General features: G+C 41.5%; 1 protein-coding gene and 1 pseudogene across 3 annotated transcripts in view; both read left to right on the top strand.

Moving 5' to 3' along the window:
• The first annotated feature begins 323 nt into the window (after positions 1 to 323).
• C9orf153 (chromosome 9 open reading frame 153) overlaps positions 324 to 24376 on the top strand; it is a 39393-nt gene continuing 15340 nt past the window's right edge. Inside the window, exons 1-2 of one of the 3 annotated variants that reach the window (NM_001276367.4) lie at positions 324 to 431; positions 22821 to 22899. The gene's annotated coding sequence lies outside the window, so the exon portion shown is untranslated. Of the gene's footprint in view, positions 432 to 3947; positions 3995 to 22820; positions 22900 to 24376 lie in introns of those variants that run through there. The other 2 variants (NM_001276368.4, NM_001276366.4) reach the window with 2 other exon arrangements.
• RN7SKP264 (RN7SK pseudogene 264) lies at positions 1335 to 1556 on the top strand (annotated as a pseudogene).

Raw genomic sequence — 24376 nt, 5'->3', positions numbered from 1 at the left:
AAAAAAAATTATACTCACGCCAGCCTGGGCAACATGGCGAAACCCCATCTCTAGAGAAAAATACATAAATTAGCCAGGCGTGGTGGCGTGCGCCCGGGGTCCCAGCCACAAGCTGAGGCAGAAAAAAAAGTAGCTACTCAGCTACTCAATGTTCACTCTTTAAAAATGCTTTTCCATCATCCTCCACCGTCTCCCACCCCCCACCAAGCAGCAAGATAATTCCCCATCGCTTAGCATCATATAGCTGCTTATGTGACCTTGAGAATGTCCACATGTCACAATGGACAGTCACTTAACACTAAGCAATGACACATGCTAGGAGTGGGGCTGGGCCTTGGGGCTGCTGGATGAATGAGACCCAGCCTCTGCCCTGGGAGTGCAGAGACTCAAGACAGATATGACCACGTGAAGAGACAACTGTAAAACAAGTGGTAAGTGCATCTACAGCCATAGCCACGGGGCACTGTGAGACCACAGAGCAGTGAAAACTAAGCCAGTCTAGGCTTGGCAAGGAGAGATGGAGTGAGGTGGGCAGTGGCTAAGGTGGGAAGACCAGAGCTGGGAGGTGAGATGGGATTTGGGTTTATCTTTACCAATAAGGATGAGGAGCCTGTTTCATCTTCCTCCAGGCAGGTCACAGAAGCTGGAACCAGTTGATCGGGCCGAGCCTGCAGACTCCCTCATCCTTTCCGGCCTTCAACACTGATAGCTCTGCTCTCTCTCCCCAACCTCAGTGCCTTCATCCTCCCCTGTGTTCCCATGGATGCTTGGTCCTGACTTTGCACCTCTCCCTCACACCCAGTGTCCTTTGTTTTTCCTCTGCCACTTGGGAGGCTGATGGGAGGATCACCTGAGCCTGGGAGGTTGAGGCTGCAGTGACCTGTGTTCACGCCACTGCACTCCAGCTGGGGTGACAGAATGAGAGCCTATCTCAAAGAAAAAAAAAAAACACTGCTCTGTATGATACTATCAAAGTGGATATATGTAATTGCACATTGTGAAATCTCATAGAATGCACAACACCAAGAATGGACCGTAATGTAAACTGTGAAGTATGGGCTTTAGTTAGTAACCATGCATTGATACCGGCTCATCAAGTATAACAAACGTACCACACAAACATAAGTAGTAAAAAAAAAAGGGGAAAGCTGTGTGTATGGTGCAGAGAAGGGGGGTTGTGGGAACATTGTACTTTCTAACCAATTCTAAAATTGCTCTAAAATTTAAGTATATTAATATTTTTAAAAAAAGTTTCGTTAAATTAGCAATATAATAGTTGCTTACCCAAGAAAATTCAGGTTTTCAAATATTGCGTTTTAAAAGCAATTATTTCCGGATGTGAGGGTGATCTGGCTGCAACATCTGTCACCCCACTGATGGCCAGGGTTAATTTGTCTGATCTGGCTGGCTAGGTGGATGTCTCCTTCCTCCCTCATCCGTCCACATGCGTCCTTCCAGACGCTGCGGACAACCTTCCCCAACAGAGGAGGGCCGTTCTTTGGGCAAGGGTATATGAGTAGCTGCACTCCCCTGCTAGAACCTCCAAACAAGCTCTCTAAAAGTAATTACTTCAAAGGAAGGATTAAGAGTTTCATCCTCTATGACAAAATTAATTTTTCCTTTTTTTTTTTTTTTTTTTGAGACAAAGTCTCACTCTGTCGCCCAGGCTGGAGTGCAATGGCACGATCTCGGCTCACTGCAACCTCCGCCTCCTGGGTTCAAGTGATTCTCCTGCCTCAGCCTCCCGAGTAGCTGGGACTACCGGCGCCCACCACCATGCCCAGCTAATTTTTGTATTGTTAGTAGAGACAGGGTTTCACCGTGTTAGCCAGGATGGTCTTGATCTCCTGACCCCGTGATCTGCTCCCCTTGGTCTCCCAAAGTGCTGGGATTATGGGCGTGAGCCACCGCACCCGTCCTACAAAAATTTTAGTAATAAAGGTTGTCCTTAATAGTTGAATGTGCACAGCTATAAAACCCACACAAGAAAGCAATCTGGCCTCCGCATCTAATATCTGCTCAAGATTGATGAGCTCTCTCCCCCTCCACGTTAGCCCCAGATGGGTTGTTTGAGCTGCCCACACCGCTCATTCCCTGAAGCCATCGTGACAGGACACTGTCACCTTTGTCATCCATTGTGTTGGTATATAAATCCACTCAACTGATCTGTTCCTGGCCAAGACCACAGACTTTTCCCCTCTCTGAGGAGCTAAGTCTGATTGTCATATTTTCAGTTCTGGTTGTTATATCAGCAGTAGTAAATTGCATTCCCTGTCAATCAATCGTGTTGTCAATTCACCCTCTGACAACTAAAGCAGAAGGCCTAAAATTACTGAGTGCCTACTCTGTGCCAGCTGCCATGTCAGACAAGCGGCTCCCCTGGGAAGACAGCCAGACTCAAGGGTAAGGGATCAAGGAAATCAGCCAGGAAAGTCCATTAGGCATTTTGGGGAAAGACCAGGCAGGAGCTAATGAAGTCTAGATGAAAAGTGACAGCTGAGAGAACTGAAAAAGGGGCAGATGTCTTGTTTGGCTTGATGGAGCCTCCAACTGATTACAAGTGAAAGCCAGGAGGGAGGAGCTTAAAAGGCCTGCTGTTCTGCAGGGGAATCTTCAGGTTCCTATGGGCTCCCATCTCCTCCCCAAGGAGTCTTCTCACTTAGACTAGCATTCCCAAAGCATGGAACCCAGTAATCGCTGCAGTGAGCCACAGGTGCTTTGGGGTTTCAGAAGAAAAGGCAATCTGTTGGCCTAAAGGAAGAAGCCAAGGCAAAATTAATATAAGTAGAGAGCTTATTTGAGCCAAGTTTGAGGACTGCAACCCTGGGGACATTGATTCAAGTTGCCCAGAATATATGCTCCAATCGGCAATTATAAGTGGGTTTTTAAAGGGAAAAAAGAAGAGGTAGTTCTAAAGTTGTTTACCAAGTATTTACATTGGTTCATTAAAATACCGTAAGCTTCTTTTTTTCTTCTTCTTCTTGTTGAGACAAGGTTTCCCCCTGTGTTGCCCAGGCTGGTCTTGAACTCCTGTACTCAAGTGATCTCTCACCTCAGCCTCCCGTGTAGCTGGGATTACAGGTGCATGCCACAGTGACTCACTCAAAATAGTATAAGCTATTGACTGGCTATGCGCTGTTCTTTGTATCACAAATTCCAGAAAAATGAAGATATGGGTGAGGGTCACATTGTGCAACTCATAGCATTTTAGGTAATTTATCAGCTGGTCTGGAAACTATAGGCAATAGAAGAAAAATACAAAATGCCTTTAAACAATTAACCCTGGGCATAGGGTTAATGAGACTCTCCTGTCTCTCTGATAAATTTTGCATTCCTCAGATTCTTCCGACTGCTCTGAGCTACTTTCCTTTCCCAAATGAAACAGTTGTAGTCACACTTCATAAATTGAAAATAACATAGTAATGATTTCCCAGAAATCTCATTTTGTTCCTAATAGCTCCTGCGTATTTAAATGTTGAGCATTTTCCACGAAGATGACATTAATCAAATGTTCTTAAATAACATTCAATTAGCAGGATACAGTTCATTCTGGTTAATATATTTTTCACAACATTTGCTTATTTCTGTTTAGTAAGTCTGCAATCTTTATCATTGCTATTGGGTTATATTAGATTGAATCAGTGGCTCGAAGGTATTCATTGAAACCTAAAATAATGATGGAGACAGTAGTGGATATTCCACACATCAGAATCATCTGTGAACGCACATAGTGCTCACGATTCCAGAATGATGTAGGATGGCAACCAGGACTCACTGAGTCAAGCAAATCTGCAGGTATGATGATCTTACATAAGCAGCTGAAGAGTGAAAGTAAGAAGTGAGAAGACAGTAGTGGATATTTCACGCATCAGAATCATCTGTGAATGCACATTGTGCTCATGATTCCAGAATGCTGTAGAATCACAACCAGGACTCACTGCGTCAAGCAAAGCTGCAGGTGTGATGATCTTACAGAGGCAGCTGATAAGTGAAAGTGGGTAAGAAGTGCCACAATGAACATCTGAAAAACGTGTTAGATTAAATCAAAGTTCTCCTTCCCCAAGTCCCCTGAGCAAAATATAAGACCTGGCCAGATGAGCTTATTATGGCTCAGAAAACAACACCCCTGTAGGAGCCAAGGGAAAAATGTCCTTTTTGCCCTCTGAAGGTTTGCTGAAAAAAATAACTCGCAAAAGGCAGATTCACTGGAGAAAAGGCATACGAATTTATTTATGTGCACATAGGAAAGAACCACAGAATGATTGCTCCAAACGCCCAGTGGGTTACAGAAGCTTACATACCATCTTGAGGTTACGAAGAGAATGGGAGCTCAGAGAATGGCCCAAAACAAGTTATGGTGGTAAATCAGGTTATGGTGCATGACAGGTTATGGCAGGGAGAGAAGAGGAGGCCTGGCTAGCAAAGGTGGTCTTGCTATGTAGATGAAACCTCACAGGTAGCAGCCTTCAGAAAGAATACATGGTAAATGTTTCCCACCTTCAAAGGTGTCAAACTCTCAGTTAATCTTTCCTACATCAAACAAGGGAAGGCTCAGAAGAAGCCAGGCTGCATCAAGGCAGATTGTGTACGATGCAAATCTCCCCACGAAAGACAACTTTGCAGGGCTACTTCTGTTTGCTGGCTCTCTGAACAGACACCTCAAAATGTATCAAAGAAGGATATTTTGGGGGTAAAATATTTTTATTTCTGTCAGTCCTACTTTGAAACTTTAAAAAACTTTCACATATTAAAAGCCATGTTGATGGCTTTGGAGAGATTTGGGTTAGAAGTTGTTAGATAGAGATAGGCAAAGGAGTGGGAAAAATTTGGGACAAGCAAAAAAGAGCAAATTTAAATATATTGTCCATATATTCTTGAATTAGTCTCATTTCTTTTTCTCTCTCTTTTTTTTTTTTCTGAGACAGCGTCTCACTGTCTTTCAGGCTGGAGTGCAGTGGTGTGATCTTGGCTCACTGCAACCTCCACCTCCTGGGTTCAAGCCATTCTCCCACCTAAGCCTCCTCAGTAGCTGGGACTACAGGCATGCATCACCACACCCAGCTAATTTTTGTATTTTTGGAAGAGACGGGGTTTCACCATGTTTGCCAGGCTGGCTGGCTGGTCTCAAACTCCTGGCCTCAGATGATCCACCCATGTTGGCCTTCCACAGTGCTGGGATTACAGGTGTGAGCCACTGTGCCCGGCCAAGTCTCTTAGTTCTGAAAATACATCAGTTCAGTTAAACCATTTTCTCCCATTCCAGAAGATGGCATTGCAGATGGGCTAGGCCTCTCTATACAATGCAGGTAAACAGATCTTTAATAAGAGGCATTTCTATGGAAACAGAAGAAAAACAGAGTAATGTCTGAAGTGGTCTATCTATAAACTAGCTGTTCTAGAGTTTCTGAAGTATCATCAGATTGCAGTAGCAATCTGACAGATTTTTCTGGTTTATAGTTCAAATCAGGTGTTCAAGCAAACTTTCTGAGTAGTTTACACAGCAGCAGACATGAAGACTGTTTTTATATAAGTTGCTGTGGTGATTTTTCTCAAAGTTTATACCAGATTGTTTAGCATCAGTTTGCAGAGCTCTAATAAAGAGCAGAGTTTTAATTTCTAATAATTCCAAGTCAGCAAAATGAGATGCAAATCTGAAAATATTACTTTGGAGACTTGTTGCCAGCAAAGAATTCAGCATTCAGTCCAAACCGGAGGCAAATAATAAAAACGCAAAAACAATGGACAAGGTAAGAATCTAACAAGTGTACTACAGTTTTCTTCTGAAACATAATTTTTCTCTCTGCAGTTCCCCATTTCTACCAAGGTTAAAATATAGTAGGACCAATTTATTTGCAAAATAAGTTGCAGTCTTTTTTTTTTTTTTTTTTTTGAAATGGAGTCTCGCTCTGTCTCCCAGGCTGGAGTGCAATGGCGCAATCTCGGCTCACTGCAACCTCTGCCTCCCAGGTTCATGCCTTTCTCCTGCCTCAGCCTCCCGAGTAGCTGGGACTGCAGACACATGCCACCATGCCCAGCTAACTTTTTGTATTTTTAGTACAGACAGGGTTTCATCATGTTAGCCAGGATAGTCTTTATCTCCTGACCTCATGATCTGCCCTCCTTGGCCTCCCAAAGGGCTGGGATTACAGGCATGAGCCACCACGCCCAGCCAAATTGTAGTCTTATTATACTTGCTGACTTATTGCATAAAGTGAAGCAAGAGCTGGGCACTGTGGCTTGGTACTATAATTCCAATTACTTGAGAGGCTGAAGTGGGAAGATCTCTTGAGCGCAAGACTTTAAGGCTTTAGTGAGCCATGATCGTGCCACTGCACTCCAGGCAGAGTGACACAGAGCAGGATCCCATGTCTTTAATAAACAAAAAAGTGTAGCAAGAATAATGATTGGTTGGTTGGTTATATGGGCTCTTTTAAAGTTGGCTTTTCTGGGGCTTTTTCATAAAGAATTTCAAATTAGGCTTTTAAAAGCCTCTTGAAACTAGGAACCCTAGCCAATGATTCACCATCAAACTGTGCCTGTAATACCTGTATGATTTGGGTTAATTCCTCTCTTCTAGAAGTCCCCAAAATATCTTGAGTTTCTTGGACCTGTCAGAAAGTAACATTCTTTACTTATTGCAAGTTCAGGAACCTTGTAAAGAAACTGTAGACAAGATACCAGGCCAGTCTTTCCAAAGGGCTTTTTATCAGCTGCATAAAGTCAACCATGATTCCTCAAAGCAGTCTGCTCATATCCAAAATTATGTCATTCCAGTCAAAGTCTTGGTAAAATAACCAGTGTATTCAATTATGTCCATTACAAAAGAAAACGGGTTCTTATTGAATTTTTGCAAATAACTGTAATGCCATAAATTAAGAATACTCACAAATAGTTTCCAAATTTTGAAGAAATCAGGTGGTGAGAAAGGTAAATGTTTCAGTTTTTCTCACAAAAGTGTACTTTACCCAATAGCTTAAAAAAAAAAAGTTTTCTTAACTCTGGAAAACAAAACCTAAAAAGCATCAGCAATGTTTCAAACAAAAAGTCATAGAAAAGCATTTCAGTTCTCTATCAGTTCAGCTCCAGGTAATTAACTTTTATTTTGCTTGATGTTGGGTTAGCAATCTTCATGAATCTGTAAGATTTGTATTTATAATTCTGGAAGTTTTTACTGAATCCAGTGGTAGGATCTCTAAAGTTATCAGGAACCTGTGCTCAAGAGTACTTACCAACACATATCTGAATTTTAGGCATCTCATACAATTTGGGGACAAATACTAGTAACAACACATTTATACAAATATAACTAAAAAATGTTAAACACCATTTCTTATTTGATAATGCTTCCTGAATGATTTTAACACAACAATTAAGCCTAATATATCAATCCTGGACTTCCAGGGGCCCCAATAGTAAAAAAGTTCATTTGAGGTCAAGAAGATTGAATTTAGAATTTAAAATTTGTTTTAGGGAAGTTTATCAAATATCAAAGGTTTAAAACACTTGATCAGAATAGGATAACAGGTCACTGTAAAATAAGTCATTTGTCTAGCCAAAGTGATAATTTAAAGATTTCAAAAAGCAAAAATCTTTACTTTTTGGTGGAGAGGAGACTCAGTTTTCCAAACAATCAAAAGCCAAATAAAGGGCCAGGTGTGGGGGCTCACACTTGTAATCCCAGCAATTTGGGAGGCTGAGGCAGGCAGATCATTTGAGGTCAGGAGTTTGAGACCAGCTGGCCAACGTGGTGAAACCCCATCTCTACCAAAAATACAAAAATTAGCTGGTTGTGGTGGCACACACTTGTAATCCCAGCTACTTGGAAAGCTAAGGCAGGAGGATCACTTGAACCCAGGAGGCAGAGGTTGCAGTGAGCCAAGGTGGTGCCACTGCACCACAGCCTGGGCAACAGAGTGAGACTCCATCTCAAAACAAAACAAAACAAAACAAAAAAGACCAAATAACGACAGCATGAGACCAACAGAATCTAAGAATCTGTCTCGTCTTCTCTCTTCTCCCCCTCTCCTCTCTCTCTCTCGTGTGTGTGTGTGTGTGTGTGTGTGTGTAGTTTACCTAAAGCTAAAGAAAAACCTTTTACTATCTCTTGTTAATGCTACCTGGAAATCTTGTTTAAAAGAGGAAAACGAATTTTACCTTTGCATCAGTGTATTATTAATGCTAAAACTAATAAAACCTGATAAACGGATCCATTCAATTATAATCAGTTTTGACCACACGCGATAAGGTTTCCATAAACCTTTTATAACCTCTTACAATTTTTTTATTCTTTCTTTCTCCAATTTTTTATTTCCATTTAGGTTTATCTATTTTTTATTCCTTTAATTAAAAAAAACTTTCAAAACCTCTAAACTGACAAAATTATATTCCCTATAACAAAAACCATATTCTCATGATGTTGTATAATTTTTTCCCAAAACCACATTCTACTTTTCTTATTACACTTTGCATACAAAATTGTTTATCTTATACTTGGTGGTTTTAGTTTATATATATATTAATTACAAAGTTAACTCTTAGAAACCCTAATTTTCAGTGAAAAACCTAGAAAGTAAGCAATTTTAACTGTTAGTCACATACTAACAATTTATGATACACATTTTATTATTTTTAGAAACATAGACTCTAACGAAAGTTTTTCAGTGTGAAACAGGACATATTTACTAACAGATCTAAATAAGTTTTATTTCTCTAAAATAGGAAGCCAAAAGTATAGGAGATTAAACTCATATTTAATCATTAATGTCTTGGCATTATATCATATTTGGATATCATCTAGATAGTTAATGAATATCCATTATTTAATTTAGCTTAGCAAAACTCTAGGAGTTTTTATTACCAAAAAGGTTTGAGAAAACTTTTCTAAGTAAACATGTTCTAAAAAACAATTATTGTTAAACATTTGGCCAGCTGCAGTGGCTCACACCTGTAGTCTCAACTATTTGGTAGGGCGAGGCAGGAGGATTGCCTGAGCCCAGGAGTTTGAGGCTGCTATGAGCTATGACTGCATCTGTGAATAGCCACTTCACTCCACCCTGGGCAAAATAGCAAGACTCTGTCTTTTAATAAAAAAGGAAGATTAAAAATTTGTATGCCTTTTTCACAATTCGTTTTCAACTACCATTCTGAGGGTAAAGGAGAAGCTTTCCCTTTGTTCCTACGTTACCACTGAAACTTCTGATTGATTAAATAAACAAACACAGTAGCATTCTAATAAACCAGTAGAGTTTCTCCGTAAAAAAACAACAAAGAATTACCTTCTAGGACAAAACTGATTTCATTGCTAAATAAAATAAAGACAAAAATGTCCAACACATTATTCAAATGTCTTACTTATTGAAATACAAACGGATGTATATTACATTATTGTAAAGAATCATAAACCCGGCTACAGAGTTAATCATGTATGTTCTTAGAGAAAAATACAATGAGCTATTGGCCAAACAGCTTTATCAAAGATCTTATTGTATAAATATGGTACTGTTGGGGCTCAGAAACCAATACCCCAAAATATGGCCCTTTGACATGCTGAATGGAAGAAGCCTCAAGGCCTCTGTGACCTTTCCCATGTGCTATCTCTCAATTCTGTATGACCTCCCACAAAGCACAGGCTAAAGTTGTTCTCTGAAGTTCCCTTACCTCCCTGGAGTCCAGATTTGCCAAAGAAAACAATTACCTCCAAATCCTGTCCCTGAGTTTTCATTAACTGAACTCATATCACATGAAGAAAGACTGTCTCTCAAGAGCAAAAGAAAAACAAAGTTTAAAAAGAAAAAAACATTAAGTCTGTCAACACACTTGGACAGACTTTTGTCAGAAACCATTGTCTGCTCTGTGTGTCCAACATACTCTGTCCCAGGCCATTGTACATTCTTCAAGCCTGTAGAATTCCACCCTCTCAAATCTTTTACTGTCCCCATAAAATAATCCACACGGCTCCATCACCCTTGCCCCCAAGAAGACGAACGTATAACCATCTATACCCCATTGAGTGGTAGGGTAATCACTATGGTTTTCCCCCTATGTACTCTAGTAAATTTCTATGCCATTTCTCCTATCGATCTGCCTTTTGTCAGTTGATTTTTCAGCTTAACTTCAGAGAGCAAAGGGGAAGGTGGCCAAGTGCAGTGTCTCATGCCTGTAATCCCAGCACTGTGGGAAGCTGAGGCAGGCAGATCACTTGAAGTCAGGAGTTCAAGACCAGCCTGGCCAACATGGTGAAACCCTATCTTTACTATAAAGAAAAATAAGTCGAGTGTGGTGGTGCACACTTGTAATCCCAGCTACTCAGGAGGCTGAGGCAGAAGAATTGCTTGAACTCGGGAGATGGAGGTTGCAGTGAGCCAAAATCGCGCCACTGCGCTCCAACCTGGGTGACAGAGTAAGACCCTGTCTCAAAAAAAAAAAAAAAAAAGGTGGGAGACGTTTTCCTTTGGCCTCTACCGTTTGACAATATACAATGTGACAAAGCATTTACAATAGCAAATGTGAGCTAGTTTACTGCTTTTGATACGTATTGTATATATACATGAAGAAGAAAGACACAACAATGCTTTGTTCTCTTTGTCACCAGTTACTGTGGGAGATGGTTTGTAGGCTTAAACAGATGCCCAGATTCTCCTACCAAAGGAACATCTGGAAGGGAACAGGAAGGAAGACTCCTGCTCTAAAAAGAAAGGAACAGTCTCTGAATGGCTGTCCACACTCTGTCTTACTCCCAGGGAGGCCTTTCTTGGTTGTAATTTAGTTTTAGAAGACACTGTGAAAACTGAACACACAATCAAATGTGGACCCTGCATTTTCATCCTGCCATAGACAGAAAGGAGTAAAGAATGAGGCTAATGAATTTGTAAGTTAAGATGATGGATTGAAATCTGTAAATAATTTTATACTTACTGAAACCTGGACCAAACTTCGACACCAGAATTTGCTTTTAAAGACATCACATAAAATAAAGATGCTAACAGCAATAACATTTTGGAAGCTGGCAGGCAGATGGCTGTGACGTTGCTGGCGTGGCAGACTTGAGAAAGCTGAGAACCAGATGAGATTACACCTCAGAATCTTCCAACAACTGTGCTACAGGCAACACGAGGAGCCACTGGAACTGGGGTGATGGGGAAGGTGGGCTAAGAGAAGGTCCTTGATGAGAAGGTTGACCTAGTGCCTGCCCACATTTCATGACTCTGGGTAAATGCCCCTGCTTCCACCTGGTGGAAATCTAAAGGTTTTTTTTTCTACAGAGAAACTAAAACAGGTTCAGGTCACCCAACTGGGGGAGTGCCAGGCCCAGCAGGGGGTGTAAATATCATACCAAAAAACAATAAATAAACCCACAGACAAACAAGGAGTTGTGTGAATGTGTAAGTGCTAGATGCAAGGCCCCCAACTCAGCATTCAACATTCTCTAAAAATGAGACCCTTTGTGTACAAATGGTCTCACTTTAGAAAACTCAGTGACATGCAATTAACTCATGTAACAAACCTGCGCGCGTACTCTCTGAAGCTAAAATAAAAGTAGAAAAAACAGGCTGGGCACGGTGGCTCACGCCTGTAATCCCAGCACTTTGGGAGGCCGAGACAGGCAGATCACCTGAGGTCAGGAGTTTGAGACCAGCCTGGCCAACATGACGAAACCCAGTCTCTACTAAAAATACAAAAATTAGCCGGGGGTGGTGGCAGGCACCTGTAATCCCAGCTACTCTGGAGGCTGAGGCAGGAGAATCGCTTGAACCCAAGAGGTGGAGGTTGCAGTGAGCCGAGATCTCACCACTGCACTCCAGCCTGGGCAACAGAGTGAGACTCAGTCTCAAAAAAACAAAAACAAACAAAAACAAAAGTAGAAAAAATAAATAAAGTGCAACCCCTACCCTCAGTGCAGACAAATGGAAATCTCTGGAGAATCCTACCAGCTCAGGAAAAACCTAAACATACTCATCACATCAAGGGACCCTCCCACAAAGGGTTCACCCAAAGTCCGTGAGTCCCACCAATGCGTGCAGAGCCTCCTGCCAGCTTTTGAGCACTTCACTCTTACTGAGCAGATGACCAATGATCCCCAGACCGTCAGAGGACTGCCTCTATAATGGAAGGTAGGGGCCAAAACAAACAGGGACAAAAAAGAGAGACTATGTTGGCAGAAGAAAACTTCAAAAGAACAATCAGTGTATCTTTGAGGGATAAGAGAAGATAATTTTGCACCATGAAACAAGAATGAATCACATGAAAAGGAACATTTGGGATAAAAATAGCTCTTTTTAAATCTTCTTCTTATTTATTTATTTAGAAAGGGTCTCACTCTGTTGTCCAGGCTGGTGTGGAGAGGCATGATCATGGCTTACTACAGCCTCAGTCTCCGGGGCTCAGTGGATCCTCCCACCTTAGCCTCACATGTAGCTGGGACTATAGGTGCACCACTATGCCTGGCTAAGTTTTGTATTTTTTGTAGAGATAGGTTTTTGCCATGTTACCCAGGCTGGTCTCAAAATCTGGGGCTCAAGCAATCCACCCGCTTCAGCCTCCCAAAGTGTTGGGATTACAGATGTGAGCCACCACGCCCAGCCTAAAAACAGCTCTTATAAGCTAAGTGAATGAAAACAAAATAGAAAGGTTAGAAGATAAAGTAGAGGAATGTGCACAAGAAAAAGATGAAAAAGACAGCCTGGCAGCCTGGTGAAAAAAGAGAGAGAGCAAAAAGACAGAGAGCATTCACTGTACCCCAAAGAGTTCTGCTTTGATCCACTCCTGAGGTTTGATACTTGGCCATAGGGAGCAAAAATTACAGAAAATACAAAAAATGTAGAGCAGTGCCCGTTCCCTGACTGCATTTTGGCTGAATTGCCATCTCTGGCCCACTGTGTAGTCCTACCAGATGTCCTGACAGTGGTGCTGTTATCCCAGACTCAGTCAAAACTTTGCCCTTTGGCTTCCCCAAAGAGACCCGTGTGAACTCGCAGGAAGTGGAAACCAGACAGGGACCTGCCTCTGTGCAGATCACAGTCCCCTGGGAGCCTGCCTCTAGCTTGGGAAACATTGCTTTCCCTTTCATCCATGGCTTGCTACTCCGTTTTCAAAAGTAAATACTGTCATGTTAGGGACATGTAAATCAATAGCAAAACTATAGAGAATAACAAGGCAGTGACGTCCACAGAACTGAGAGTGGGGTAGACTGTGGTTGGAGGGAAGGGATTCACTTGGAGACGGCCATCCAGAGGTCTCATGATACTGTTTCTTAACCCATTGGTGAGTGCATTTTTAGTCTTTGTTCCTTGTCTTTTTATTCTTTAAATAACACATATACATTTTATACCCTGTTTTCATGCTCAAGACAATTAGATGTTGAGAGAAAAGTAGTACTTGTTAAGGTTTTTGAAATGCAAATGAGATTTAAAAAAAATTATTTCATGTGTTAATCCACGAGTCCAGTTTGGCTGCTTTAATTGGCTGCTTGCGGCCCCGAGGGTCTTCACCAAGTAATCATGACTTTATATAGCCTGCTCTGCTTGTCAGGACTGAAAAGTCTGCACTATTAATGTGGAAGATGCCATGTCAGACTGGCTTAGGAAGTCCAAGCTGTAGTACAATGGCTGCACTGCAGAAGGTTTCACTTTTCCCAAATCCTTAGTAAACTCCTTCACCCCTCAGTGACAGAAATCAATGGCATGCGATTGAGTGTCCTTTAAAATTACATTCAAATGCTGCAAGAGAACCTGAAAACATCTTTCCAAGGCAAATACAACCAAGCATGGATTTATTATCTCTTTGCCAAGCTGTCCTCAGCTGAGACGATCAACTGCTCAGCAGCTGAGAGGAGACTTCAGAGGGAAATCACCCCATCATGTTTGCTTTTGTAGAGAACTCAGTGACATGTTTGTTACATGAGTAAATTGTAAGCCACCTGGCAGGGCCACCAAACACTAGCTGTCATTGCAGGAGACTTATAACTGAGAGCTGAAGTTTTGTAAATTAATAGAAATAAGGTGGAAAGAAAGCTGTGGGATGTGGAAACTGACAAACTGACCCAGTGCCCAAGTATCATCAGGATTCTTTAGGGGAAAGCAGGAATGTGAGCATCTCCTCTCACTCACAGGAAACAATCATTTTTTAAAGTCATGCTTTTACTTTGAGAATTGTGATAAATCTTTTCTTTTTATTTGTTAGAGTTCTATTCTATTTATTAGAATTCTGTGCTGATGCCCTGAATAGGTCAATTAGAGTGATTTGCGGGCCAGTAAAAAAGAAAACCTCATTCCAGGTGACACTAAAAATAGGAAGCATACACCTTCAGAGCAGCTTTATTCACAATCGCAAAGAGGTAGAAGCTACTCAATCGCCTCCCCACAGATGAATGGATAAACAAACTGAAGCGTGCAACCCACAATGGAGTATTACTCTATAACGTGGATGAACCCGGAGGACATCATGCTAAGTGAAATAAGACAGTCCCCAAGAAACCAATATTGTATGATTTCACTAATATGAGGGTCCTAGAGTAGTCACGCTCAGAGACAGAACGCAGAATGGTGGCTGCCAGGGTTCGGGAGAAGGGAGAAGTGGGAGTTTTTCAGTGGGTATAAGGTTTCAGTTTTACAAGATGAAAGGCTTCTGGAGATGCGTTACACAATGATGCGCATGCAGTTAACACTACTGAATATTACACTTACAAATGGTTATGATGGTAAATTTTGTTATATGTTTTTACCACAATTAAAAATAAAATGTTTAAAAGGGAGATGTGACTGGGCACGGTGACTCATGCCTGTAATCCCAGCACTTTGGGAGGCCGAGGTGGGTGGATCACCTGAGGTCAGGAGTTCAAGACCAGCCTGGCCAACACGGTGAGACTCCGTCTCTACTAAAAACACAAAAATTAGTTGGTTGTGGTGGCAGGTGCCTGTAATCCTAGCTACTCAGCAGACTGAGGCAGGAAAATCCCTTGAACCTGGGAGGCGGAGGTTGCAGTGAGCTGAGATTGTGCCATTGCACTCCAGCCTGGGCGACAAGAGTGAAACTCCATCTCAAAAAAAGAGAGGTGTAAGTTTGCAGGAGATATCTATAGGATGCTTTTGTTTACGTAAGGTTCAAACACATGCAGAAATGACAATAGAGTATGTTGTCAGGGATACATGCACATGTGAAAAATAGAAATAAAAAAGGAGGAGAATGCTAAACACAAAATTCAGGAGGGTGGTTATCCCTGGGATTAGGGAGGGAGAAAGATGGAACTGAGGATGGAGACAGAAGGCTTCAGTGGTGTTCCCGATATTCTTCGTCTGGGTTTGGGGTGCACAGATCTTCATAAGTATTCATTCGCCAAGAAAGAACACACTCCCATTTAAACTCTGACATGCTCTGTAATCACTTATAATTTTTATTTTATATCTACTTTGTTTTAGAGAAGAAGAGCTCTTTTAGATCTATTTAGGCATTGGTTTTTATCATACATCTGCTGCCGTATTCAGTGCCTACCATGACCACTACTAAATCAGTGTTATCTTTGAGATCAGCCTTGTCCAATAGAAATAGAATGCAAGTCACTGATGTGATTTTAATGTGATCTTCCAGGTAGCCACATTAGAAAAGGTGAAAGAGGCCAACATAATGGCTCACATCTGTAATCCCAGCACTATAAGAGACTGAGGTGGGAGGATCATGTGAGGCCAAGAGTTGGAGACCAGCTGGGCAACATAGCAAGACCCTGTCTCTACAAAAAAAATTATTTTAAAAGAGAAAAGGTGAAAGATACAGGCAAAATTAATTTTAACGCTATATTTTATTTAACTCAATGTATCTAAAATATTATCTTTATGTAATTGATATGAAAATCCCTAATGAGATACTTTTCATTCTGTTTTCATACTTCAGCACATCTCAATTTGGACTACTCACACTGCAAGCTCTCAGTAACCACATTTGGCTAGTGGCTACCATATTGGATGGTACAGATCTAGAAAGCACTTGAAAGCAATTAAACTCAACTTGTACACTCCATAATGTGTGTATATATAAGGTGAATGGATGGCCTTATGAACAGCTATGTCCAACTTCATGCAGATCTAGGCCATAGGAACTAGTCTTGAGGCCACTGGGCCAACATCAACTGTGAGACCAACTGATTGTGAGATGCAGCCTGCTTTTCAGAAATGTGAAAATGTGAAATTGATGCAATATGGTAGTTGCAAAGCAACTGTCTGTGAGTATGGGGACCAGTTCTTATTAGAAAAGCCTAAGAACAATGTAGCCAGATGGTGCTGGAAGCCTGCAAGAAAGTGAATCTGGACTCTGAATGTTAGATTCAGGCGATGTGGCTTGCTAAATGCAGTTTTGTCACCTGTTAGATGGCTAGAGCCTGGGGGATCACAGTTAAGGGTCTGAGAGGCTGAGGCAGGAGAATCGCTTGAACCTGGGAGGCAGAGGTTGCGGTGAGCCGAGATCGCGCCATTGCACTCCAGCCTGAGCATCAAGAGTGAAACTCCATCTCAAAAAAAAAAAAAGAAGAAAAGAAAAAGAAAAAAAAAAAATTCAGGGGTTTTAGGTGCTCTATGGCCAGAACTGGGGACAGAGACCAAATATATTTCAAATTACACCACAGTTGTTTCTGTTGTAGTGAAAGGTTTATACTTGAACATCTAATTTATTCTCTATCATCATGTTGAATTCAGGAAGGAGAGAGAAAATCCCCTATGCCCACTTTTCTATCTTGAAAAGTATTCTCAAGAGTAGGAATTGCTTCAAATCTTGTTTCATGTTCCCAAAGGGCCTGTCATGGGACTGAGTACAATAGTAACTCGATAGACACTTTCCATAGAGACTAATTTCTCCTCCAAACAGGAAGGCTGCCTGGTCTGTAACACATCACCAAAGGAACACATGCTTTCTGTAAAAAACAAATCCAAATAGTGGAAAACATTCAAAATAGTAAAGTGCCAAAGCCCCTCTTTCATGCCTTCGCACTAACTCCCTTCTATTAAGAAGTGGCCTGCGGGGCTGGGCGTGGTGGTTCACGCCTGTAATCCCAACACTTTGGGAGGCTGAGGTGGGTGGATCACCTGAGGTCAGGAGTTCGAGACCAGCCTGGACAACATGGTGAAACCCCGTCTCTACTAAAAATACAAAAATTAGCTGGGCGTGGTGGTGGGTACTTGTAATCCCAGCTACTCAGGAGACTGAGGCAGGAGAATCACTTGAACCCGGGAGGTGGAAGTTGCAGTGAGCCAAGATTGCACCACTGCAATCCAGCCTGGGCGACAGAGTGAGACTCCATCTAAAAAAAGTGGCGTGCGTCCTTCCAGAGGATGCTCTGTGAATTCACAACTATGCATAAATTCTCACTTGACAGACAAACGTATTTTCTTTCCTACATAAAATACATATTTGGCCTCATTTTTTATATGGTGGACTCATACTGTACAATTACTGTTAGTACATATTCAGCATTTTTAATTAATAAGTTTCTAATTGATAAATTATAAGCTGTACATGGCAGCCAGAGTGCTCCTTTAAGAATAAATGTAAGTTAGAAAAACAAAACAAAACAAAGCTGTGCCAACTACTCAGCTCAGCCTGCTGCACAAAGAAAGTCTTGCGGCAGCAGAAAAAAAAAAGAATGTAAGCCAGATCCTGTCTTCCTTTGAGCCTGCAAAAGCTCCTCAGTTCCCTCTCTGCAAGGCTCTAAGAAGGCAGGGCTCTCTTACTTTCCCCTCCTCTCTCCCTCTTTCCTGTTTCTCTTGCAAGCTGCTCTTCCTCCAGCACATGGCCTTTGCCCCGGCTGGTCCTTCTGCCTGGAAGATTCTTCCTGTTTTTCTCAGGGCTCAGTGTCACCTCTACAGGCTTTGGCTCAAATGTTACCTTCCCAGTGAGGTCAACACAACCACCCTATTTAAAGTTGCAACCCTCCATCACCACACTCCCAATCCCTTTTACCCTGATCTCTCTGATAACCTTCATTGCACTTAATGGCTTTCAAACTTACGAATTCACTTATCTTGTGTATGATGTTCTATAAGTTCCCCCTTGCTAGCCTGTAAACTCCACAAGAGGCCGGGCATAGTGGCTCACGCCTGTAATCCCAGGACTTTGGGAGGCCAAGAGGGGAGGATCACTTGAGGCCAGGAGTTCAAGACCAGCCTGACCAACATGGTGAAGTCCTGTCTCTACTAAAAATAGAAAAATTAGCCAGGCCTGGTCGTGGGCACCTGTAATCCCAGCTACTTGGGAGGCTGAGGCAGGAACATCACTTGAACCCAGGAGGTGGAGGTTGCATTAGCTGAGATCTTGCTGCTGTATTCCAGCCTGGACGACAGAGCAAGACTCCATCTCCAGAAAAAAAAAACAACGAAATGTACGACTTTTCCTATAAAACCTTGTCTATGTAAGCCATCAGGGAGTTTGGTTCTTAAGCATGAGAATCGCCCAAGTCTCCTTGCTTGACGTCCTGTAATACATGCCTCACTTTCTCTTGCTACAATCATGATGTCAGTGTTTGGCTTTGCTGTGCTCGGCACAGACCCAAGTTCAGTTTGATAACAATCTCCCTCCCACAACCAAAGCTATTCTTAGCACCCTGAAATAGATGGGGATCCCCCACCTGGAGAAAAGAAGATGAGTATCTACCACGCAGGCCAGCTCCGGGCAGGACCTGGAACATGCAGCCCCAGTTCTCTCCTGGCATCTCTGGCTTGTGCCCAGGCAGAAGGGCCTAGGATGTGCTAAATGACAGGGCTGAAGTGGAAATCGGAACACGTTCCTGTAAAAATAGTATAAGGCGGCACTCATGATGAACAGAGGTATATATACTAGGTGAGTTGGTGGACTTTCCATCATTAGTAAGAAAAGCAAAGAGGGGGCTGTCTCCATAAGCATAGAAAAAATAAGCTCAATATATAGGTTACCTGATGAAAGCGTTAATATGAGAAGCCAGGGGAGAGGGGGTAGGGGCACAAAAGAAAAGCAAATTAGGGCCGGCACAGTGGCTCACGCCTGTGATCCCAGCACTTCGGGAGGCGGAGGTGGACGCGTCATGAGGTCAGGAGCTCCAGACCAGCCTGGCCAATATGGTGAAACCCCATCTCTATTAAAAATACAAAAATTAGCCAGGAGTGGCGGTGCACATCTATAGTCCTAGCTACTCGGGAGGCTGAGGTAGAAGAATCGCTTGAACCCGGGAGGTGGAGGTTGCAGTGAGCCAAGGTCATACCACTGCACTTTAGCCTGGGCAACAGAGGGAGACTCCATCTCAAAAAAAAAAAAAAAAAAAGAAAAAGAAAAAGAAAAGAAAAGCAAATTAGTGCGGTTGCGGTGGCTCACGCATGTAATCCCACCACTTTGGGAGGCTGAGGCAAGTGGATCACTTGAGGTCAGGAGTTTAAGACCAGCCTGGCCAACATGGTGAAACCCCGTCTCTCCTAAAAATACAAACATTAGCCGGGCGTGGTGGTGTGTGCCTGTAGTCCCAGCTACCTGAGAGGCTGAGGTGGGAGAATCGCTTGAACCCAGGAGGGCAGAGGTTACAGTGAGCCGAGATAGCGCCACTGCACTCCAGCCTGGGTGACAGAGCAAGACTCTATTGCCAAAAAAAAAAAAAAAAGGAAAAGAAGAAAGCAAATTAAATTGCACTGAAATGCATGTGCGGCAAGATCATATTTATCCACTATAGCATAATATATAAAACTGTGGGTTCTCATGTCAAACTACTGGTTTCATCTCAGATTCGCCACTTATAAGCTCTTTGATGCTAGGGAAGGGGTGCTTACCTTGTCTGTGTTTCAATTTCTTCAAATGTAAAATGGGGATTATAATTGTACATGTGTCAGAAAGTTGTTGGGTGGATCAAATCAGATAATATATTTAAGTTCTTAGAACCATATGATTATAAAGGCATATAGTAAATGTTCACAGAATATCAGCTAGTATTCATAGCTCTTAGTAATGGTCAGTATCATCGAGTTTGTGTGCACCAGTGCCTTCATTATCTATAAGACACATAATGCTCAGGGCACTGAACTGCTCCACCATCGGGGTGTCTTACCCTGAGTGGTGCTGGGTGCATCCTGGAAAATTCTAACAGCCCAGATTCCCTTTTATACATACCAGGAAGGCCCTTCTGTTAACACAGTTTTCCTTCAAGCAGATCACAATGTAACTGACTAGATTTTTGTTTTCTTTTAAAAACAGCTTTATTTAGGTATAATTTACCTAAGATAAAACTCACTCTTTTTAGCATACAATTCAGTGATTTTTAGTAAATTCACAGAGTTGTTCAACCAACAATATAACTTGAGAACTTTTCTGTCAGCCCCAAAAGAAGCATGGTGCCCATTGGCACTCACTTCCAGTTACCCCTCTAGCCCCAGGCAGGCTGTAAGGGTTTGCTGCTGAGCCCCAGTCCAGCCATCCAGGCCCTTCAGGGAGTGCAATAAGCCACCTTATTTGGACTTCTCTAAACTATAACTCCTCAGTGAAACATTATAAGCAATCTCCTATGATGTGTAATTTCTACAGACAGCTGCCTTCATCCATTTCTTTTTTTTTCTTTCTGCTGATCTGAAAATGTGTCTTTTTTAATTGCAAAAGTAATAAATCTTCATTGTAAAATACATAAAAGTGCAAAGAATTGTAAGAAAGAAAACACAAATTTCTCATAATCTTACCACTAGATGGAACTGTTAACATTTTTAAATGAATCATATATGATTTTTTTTTTTTTTAACAGAGTCTCACTCTGTCGCCAGGCTGGAGTGCAGTGGCACAATCTCAGCTTACCGCAACCTCCGCCTCCCGGGTTCAAGTGATTCCTTTGTCTCGGCCTCCTGAGTAGCTGGGACTACAGGCATGCGCCGCCACGCCTGGCTAATTTTTTGTATTTTTAGTAGAGATGGGGTTTCACCATGTTGGCCAGGATGGTCTCAATCTCCTGACCTCGAGATCAGCCCTCCTCGGCCTCCCAAAGTGGTGGGATTACAGGCATGAGCCACCTGGCCCATATATGTTTGTTTTTTTTTTTTACAGAAATAGAATTATATTACAGATACCTTCTCATAATTTGTTTTTGTTTAGTATAAATATTATTTTAAAAATTTCCTGTCATTAAACATTTCTGTACAGTTTTGTAATTTCTCTAAATTTGTTCAATTATGAGCTCATCATTGGATATTTTTTCTTATTTTTTTCTTTAAATACATACTACCTTTTTCACATCTCTGGAGATCTATTTCAGCACACATCTCTGCCATTTGTTATACTAACTTCTCTCATTCAACTTGGAATTACTTCTTTACTTACTATGCTAATTCATGAAAGAAAAATTTAAACATACAAGGAAAGTAAAAGTTCCACTGCAACCCAAACTCTTAGGGACTACTGTTTGGGCAGTCCCTCTCTTGGGGTATGTCGTTCTCTATTTTAAAATGAATATATAAGCCTTCACTATAGATGTATTTTAAACAAAAACAAGATCATATTCCAGGTATTTTGAAAATTTCCAGCTTTCTGTTATTGGCATCTAACTTAACTCCACTGTAGTATGAGAACAGACGTTGTATGATTTTCTATTCCTTTAAATTAATTCATGTGTGTTTTATGGCCCGGAGTCTGGTGAATGTCCCATGTGGACTTGATCTTGAGAAGAATGTGTAATCTGCCATTGCTGGATGAAGTAGTAGTCTATAGATGTCAATTATATCCAGTTGATTGATGGGACCGTTCAGTTCAACTATGTCCTTACTGATATTCTGCCTGCTGGATCTGTCCATTTTCGATAGAGGGGTATTAAAGTCTCCAACTATAATAGTGGGTCCCTCTATTTTCTTCTTGTACTTCTATCAGTTTTTGCCTCCCATGGTTTGTTTTGGGTTTTTTGTTTTGTTTTGTTTTTTGGTTTTTCGTCAAAGTCTCTCTCTGTCACCCAGGTTGGAGTGCAGTGGTGTGATCTCCACTCACTGCAACCTCTGCCTCCAGGGTTCAAGCTATTCTCCTGCCTCAGCCTCCCGAGTAGCTGGGACTAACTACAGGTGCCTGCCACCACACCTGGCTAATTTTTTTACGTTTTTAGTAGAGACAGGGTTTCGCCATGTTGGCCAGGCTGATCTCGAACTCCTGACCTCAGGTGATCTGCCCACCTCAGCCTCCTAAAGTACTGGGATTACAGGCATGAGCCACCATGCCTGGCTTGCCTCACGTTTTGACACTTTGTTGTTAGGTGCATACATGTTACAAATTGTTATGTATTGACCCCTTTATCATTATGTAAAGCCCCTCCTCATCTCTGATAAATTTTCTTGCTCTGAAATCAGTATAGCTCCTGTATTCTTTCAAGGATAATATCTCTTTCTGTATCTCTTTACTTTTGATCTATGAGAGTTCTTATGCTTAAAGTGTGTTTCTGGCCAGGTACAGTGGCACGCACATGTAGTCCCACCTACTTGGGAGGCTGAGGCAGGAGCATTGCTTAAGCCTAGGAGTTTGAAACCAGCCTGGGCAACATAGACCCCATCTCATTTAAAAAAGTAAATAACAGTGTGTGTCTTGTAGACAACATATAATTAATTGGGTCTTCTTTTTGGTCCACTCTGACACTCTCTGTTTCTAATTAGTGTATTTAGACCATTGACATTAAAAGTGGTCGTGACGGGTTTGTATTAATATTCACCAAATGTTTTACTGTTTTTTTATTTTTTGCCCTTGTTCCTTGTTTCTGTTTTTGTCTTCCACACTTTCTGCCTCTTGTAGTTTTAATAGGCCATTTTATATGATTCAATTTTTCTCCTTTCTTAGCATATCAATTATATATTTTTTTTACTTTTTAGTGGTTGCCCTAGAGTTTGCAGTATATGTTTACAACTAACCCAAGACCACTTTCAAATTACACTACACCTTGCAGGCAGTGTGAGTACCTTATAATAACAAAATACTCCTAATTATTTCTTCTTGTTCTCTATGTCATTGTTGTCATTTGTTTCATTTTATAATAAGCTATAATTGTTTGAATACATTCTTGCCATTATATTTTGTTTTTTTTTTTTTTTTTATTTAGAGACGGGGTCTCCCAATGTTGCCCAGGCTGGCCTCAAACTCCTAGGTTCAAACGATCCTCCTGCCTCAGCCTCCCAAAGTGCTGGGATTACAGGCATGAGCCACCTAGTCCAGCCTGCTATTATTATTTTGAACAAACTGTTATCTTTTCATCAATTAAGAATATGAAAAATAAACATTTTTATTTTAATCTTCATTTACTCCTTCTCTAATACTTTTCACTTCCTTATATAGATCTGAGTTTCTTACCTACATGATTATCCTTCTCTCTGAAGAACTTCTTTAACATTTCTTGCAAGACAGGTCTACTGGCAACACATTCCTTAAATGTTTGTTTTCCTGAGAAAGCACCTCTATTTTTCTTTTCTTTTTTTTTTTTTTTTTTTGAGATGGAGTCTCGCCCTGTCACCCAGGCTGGAGTGCAATGGCGTGATATCGGCTCACTGCAACCTCTGCCTCCCAGGTTCAAGCAATTCTCCTGCCTCAGCCACCTGCGTAGCTGGGATTACAGATGCACGCCACTAAGCTGGCTAACTTTTTGTATTTTTAGTTGAGACACGGTTTCACCATGTTGACCAGGCTGGTCTCGAACTCCTGACTTCATGATCCACCCACCTCAGCCTCTCAAAGTGCTGGGATTACAGGCATGAGACACCACGCCTGGCCCTCTCTCTCTTTTGCTTTTGAAGGATAATTTCACAGAATACAGAATTCTAGGTTGGTGGGTTTTTTTCTCTCAACACTTTAACCATTTCATTCCATTCTCTGCTTCTTTGCATGCTTTTTGAGGAGAAGGAAGAGGTAATTCTTATCTTTGCTATTTATAGCAAATAATTACTTTTAATCTTCCTGTGGCTTCTTTCAAGATTTCTTTTCTTTATCTTTGGTTTTCTGCAGTATGAATATGATATACCTATGTGAAGTTTTTTGTTTTGGGGGGTTTATGCATTTAACCTATTTGATGTTCTCTGAGCTTCTTGGATCTGTGGCTTGGTGTACAACATTAATTTGGGGAAATTTTAAATCATTATTGCTTCAAATATTGCTTTTGTTTCTTTCTTCTGCTGGTATTCTCATTATGCATATGTTATACCTTTTGTAATTGTCCCACAATTCTTGGATATTCTGTTACCATTTATTTTCCAGTGTTTTTCTTTCTCTCTCTCTTTTTTTTTTTTTTTTTTTTTTTTTTTGAGATGGAGTCTTGCTCTGTCACCCAGGCTGGAGTGCAGTGACGCGATCTTGGCTCAGTGCAACCTCCGCCTCCTGGGTTCAAGCGATTCTCCTGCCTCAGCCTCCCGAGTAGCACATGCCTCCACGCCTGGCTAAT

The sequence above is a fragment of the Homo sapiens genome, chromosome 9 (genome assembly GCF_000001405.40).
Source record: "Homo sapiens chromosome 9, GRCh38.p14 Primary Assembly".
Classification (NCBI taxonomy): Eukaryota; Metazoa; Chordata; class Mammalia; order Primates; family Hominidae; genus Homo; species Homo sapiens.
This window is presented reverse-complemented; position numbering and strand designations above follow the sequence as displayed.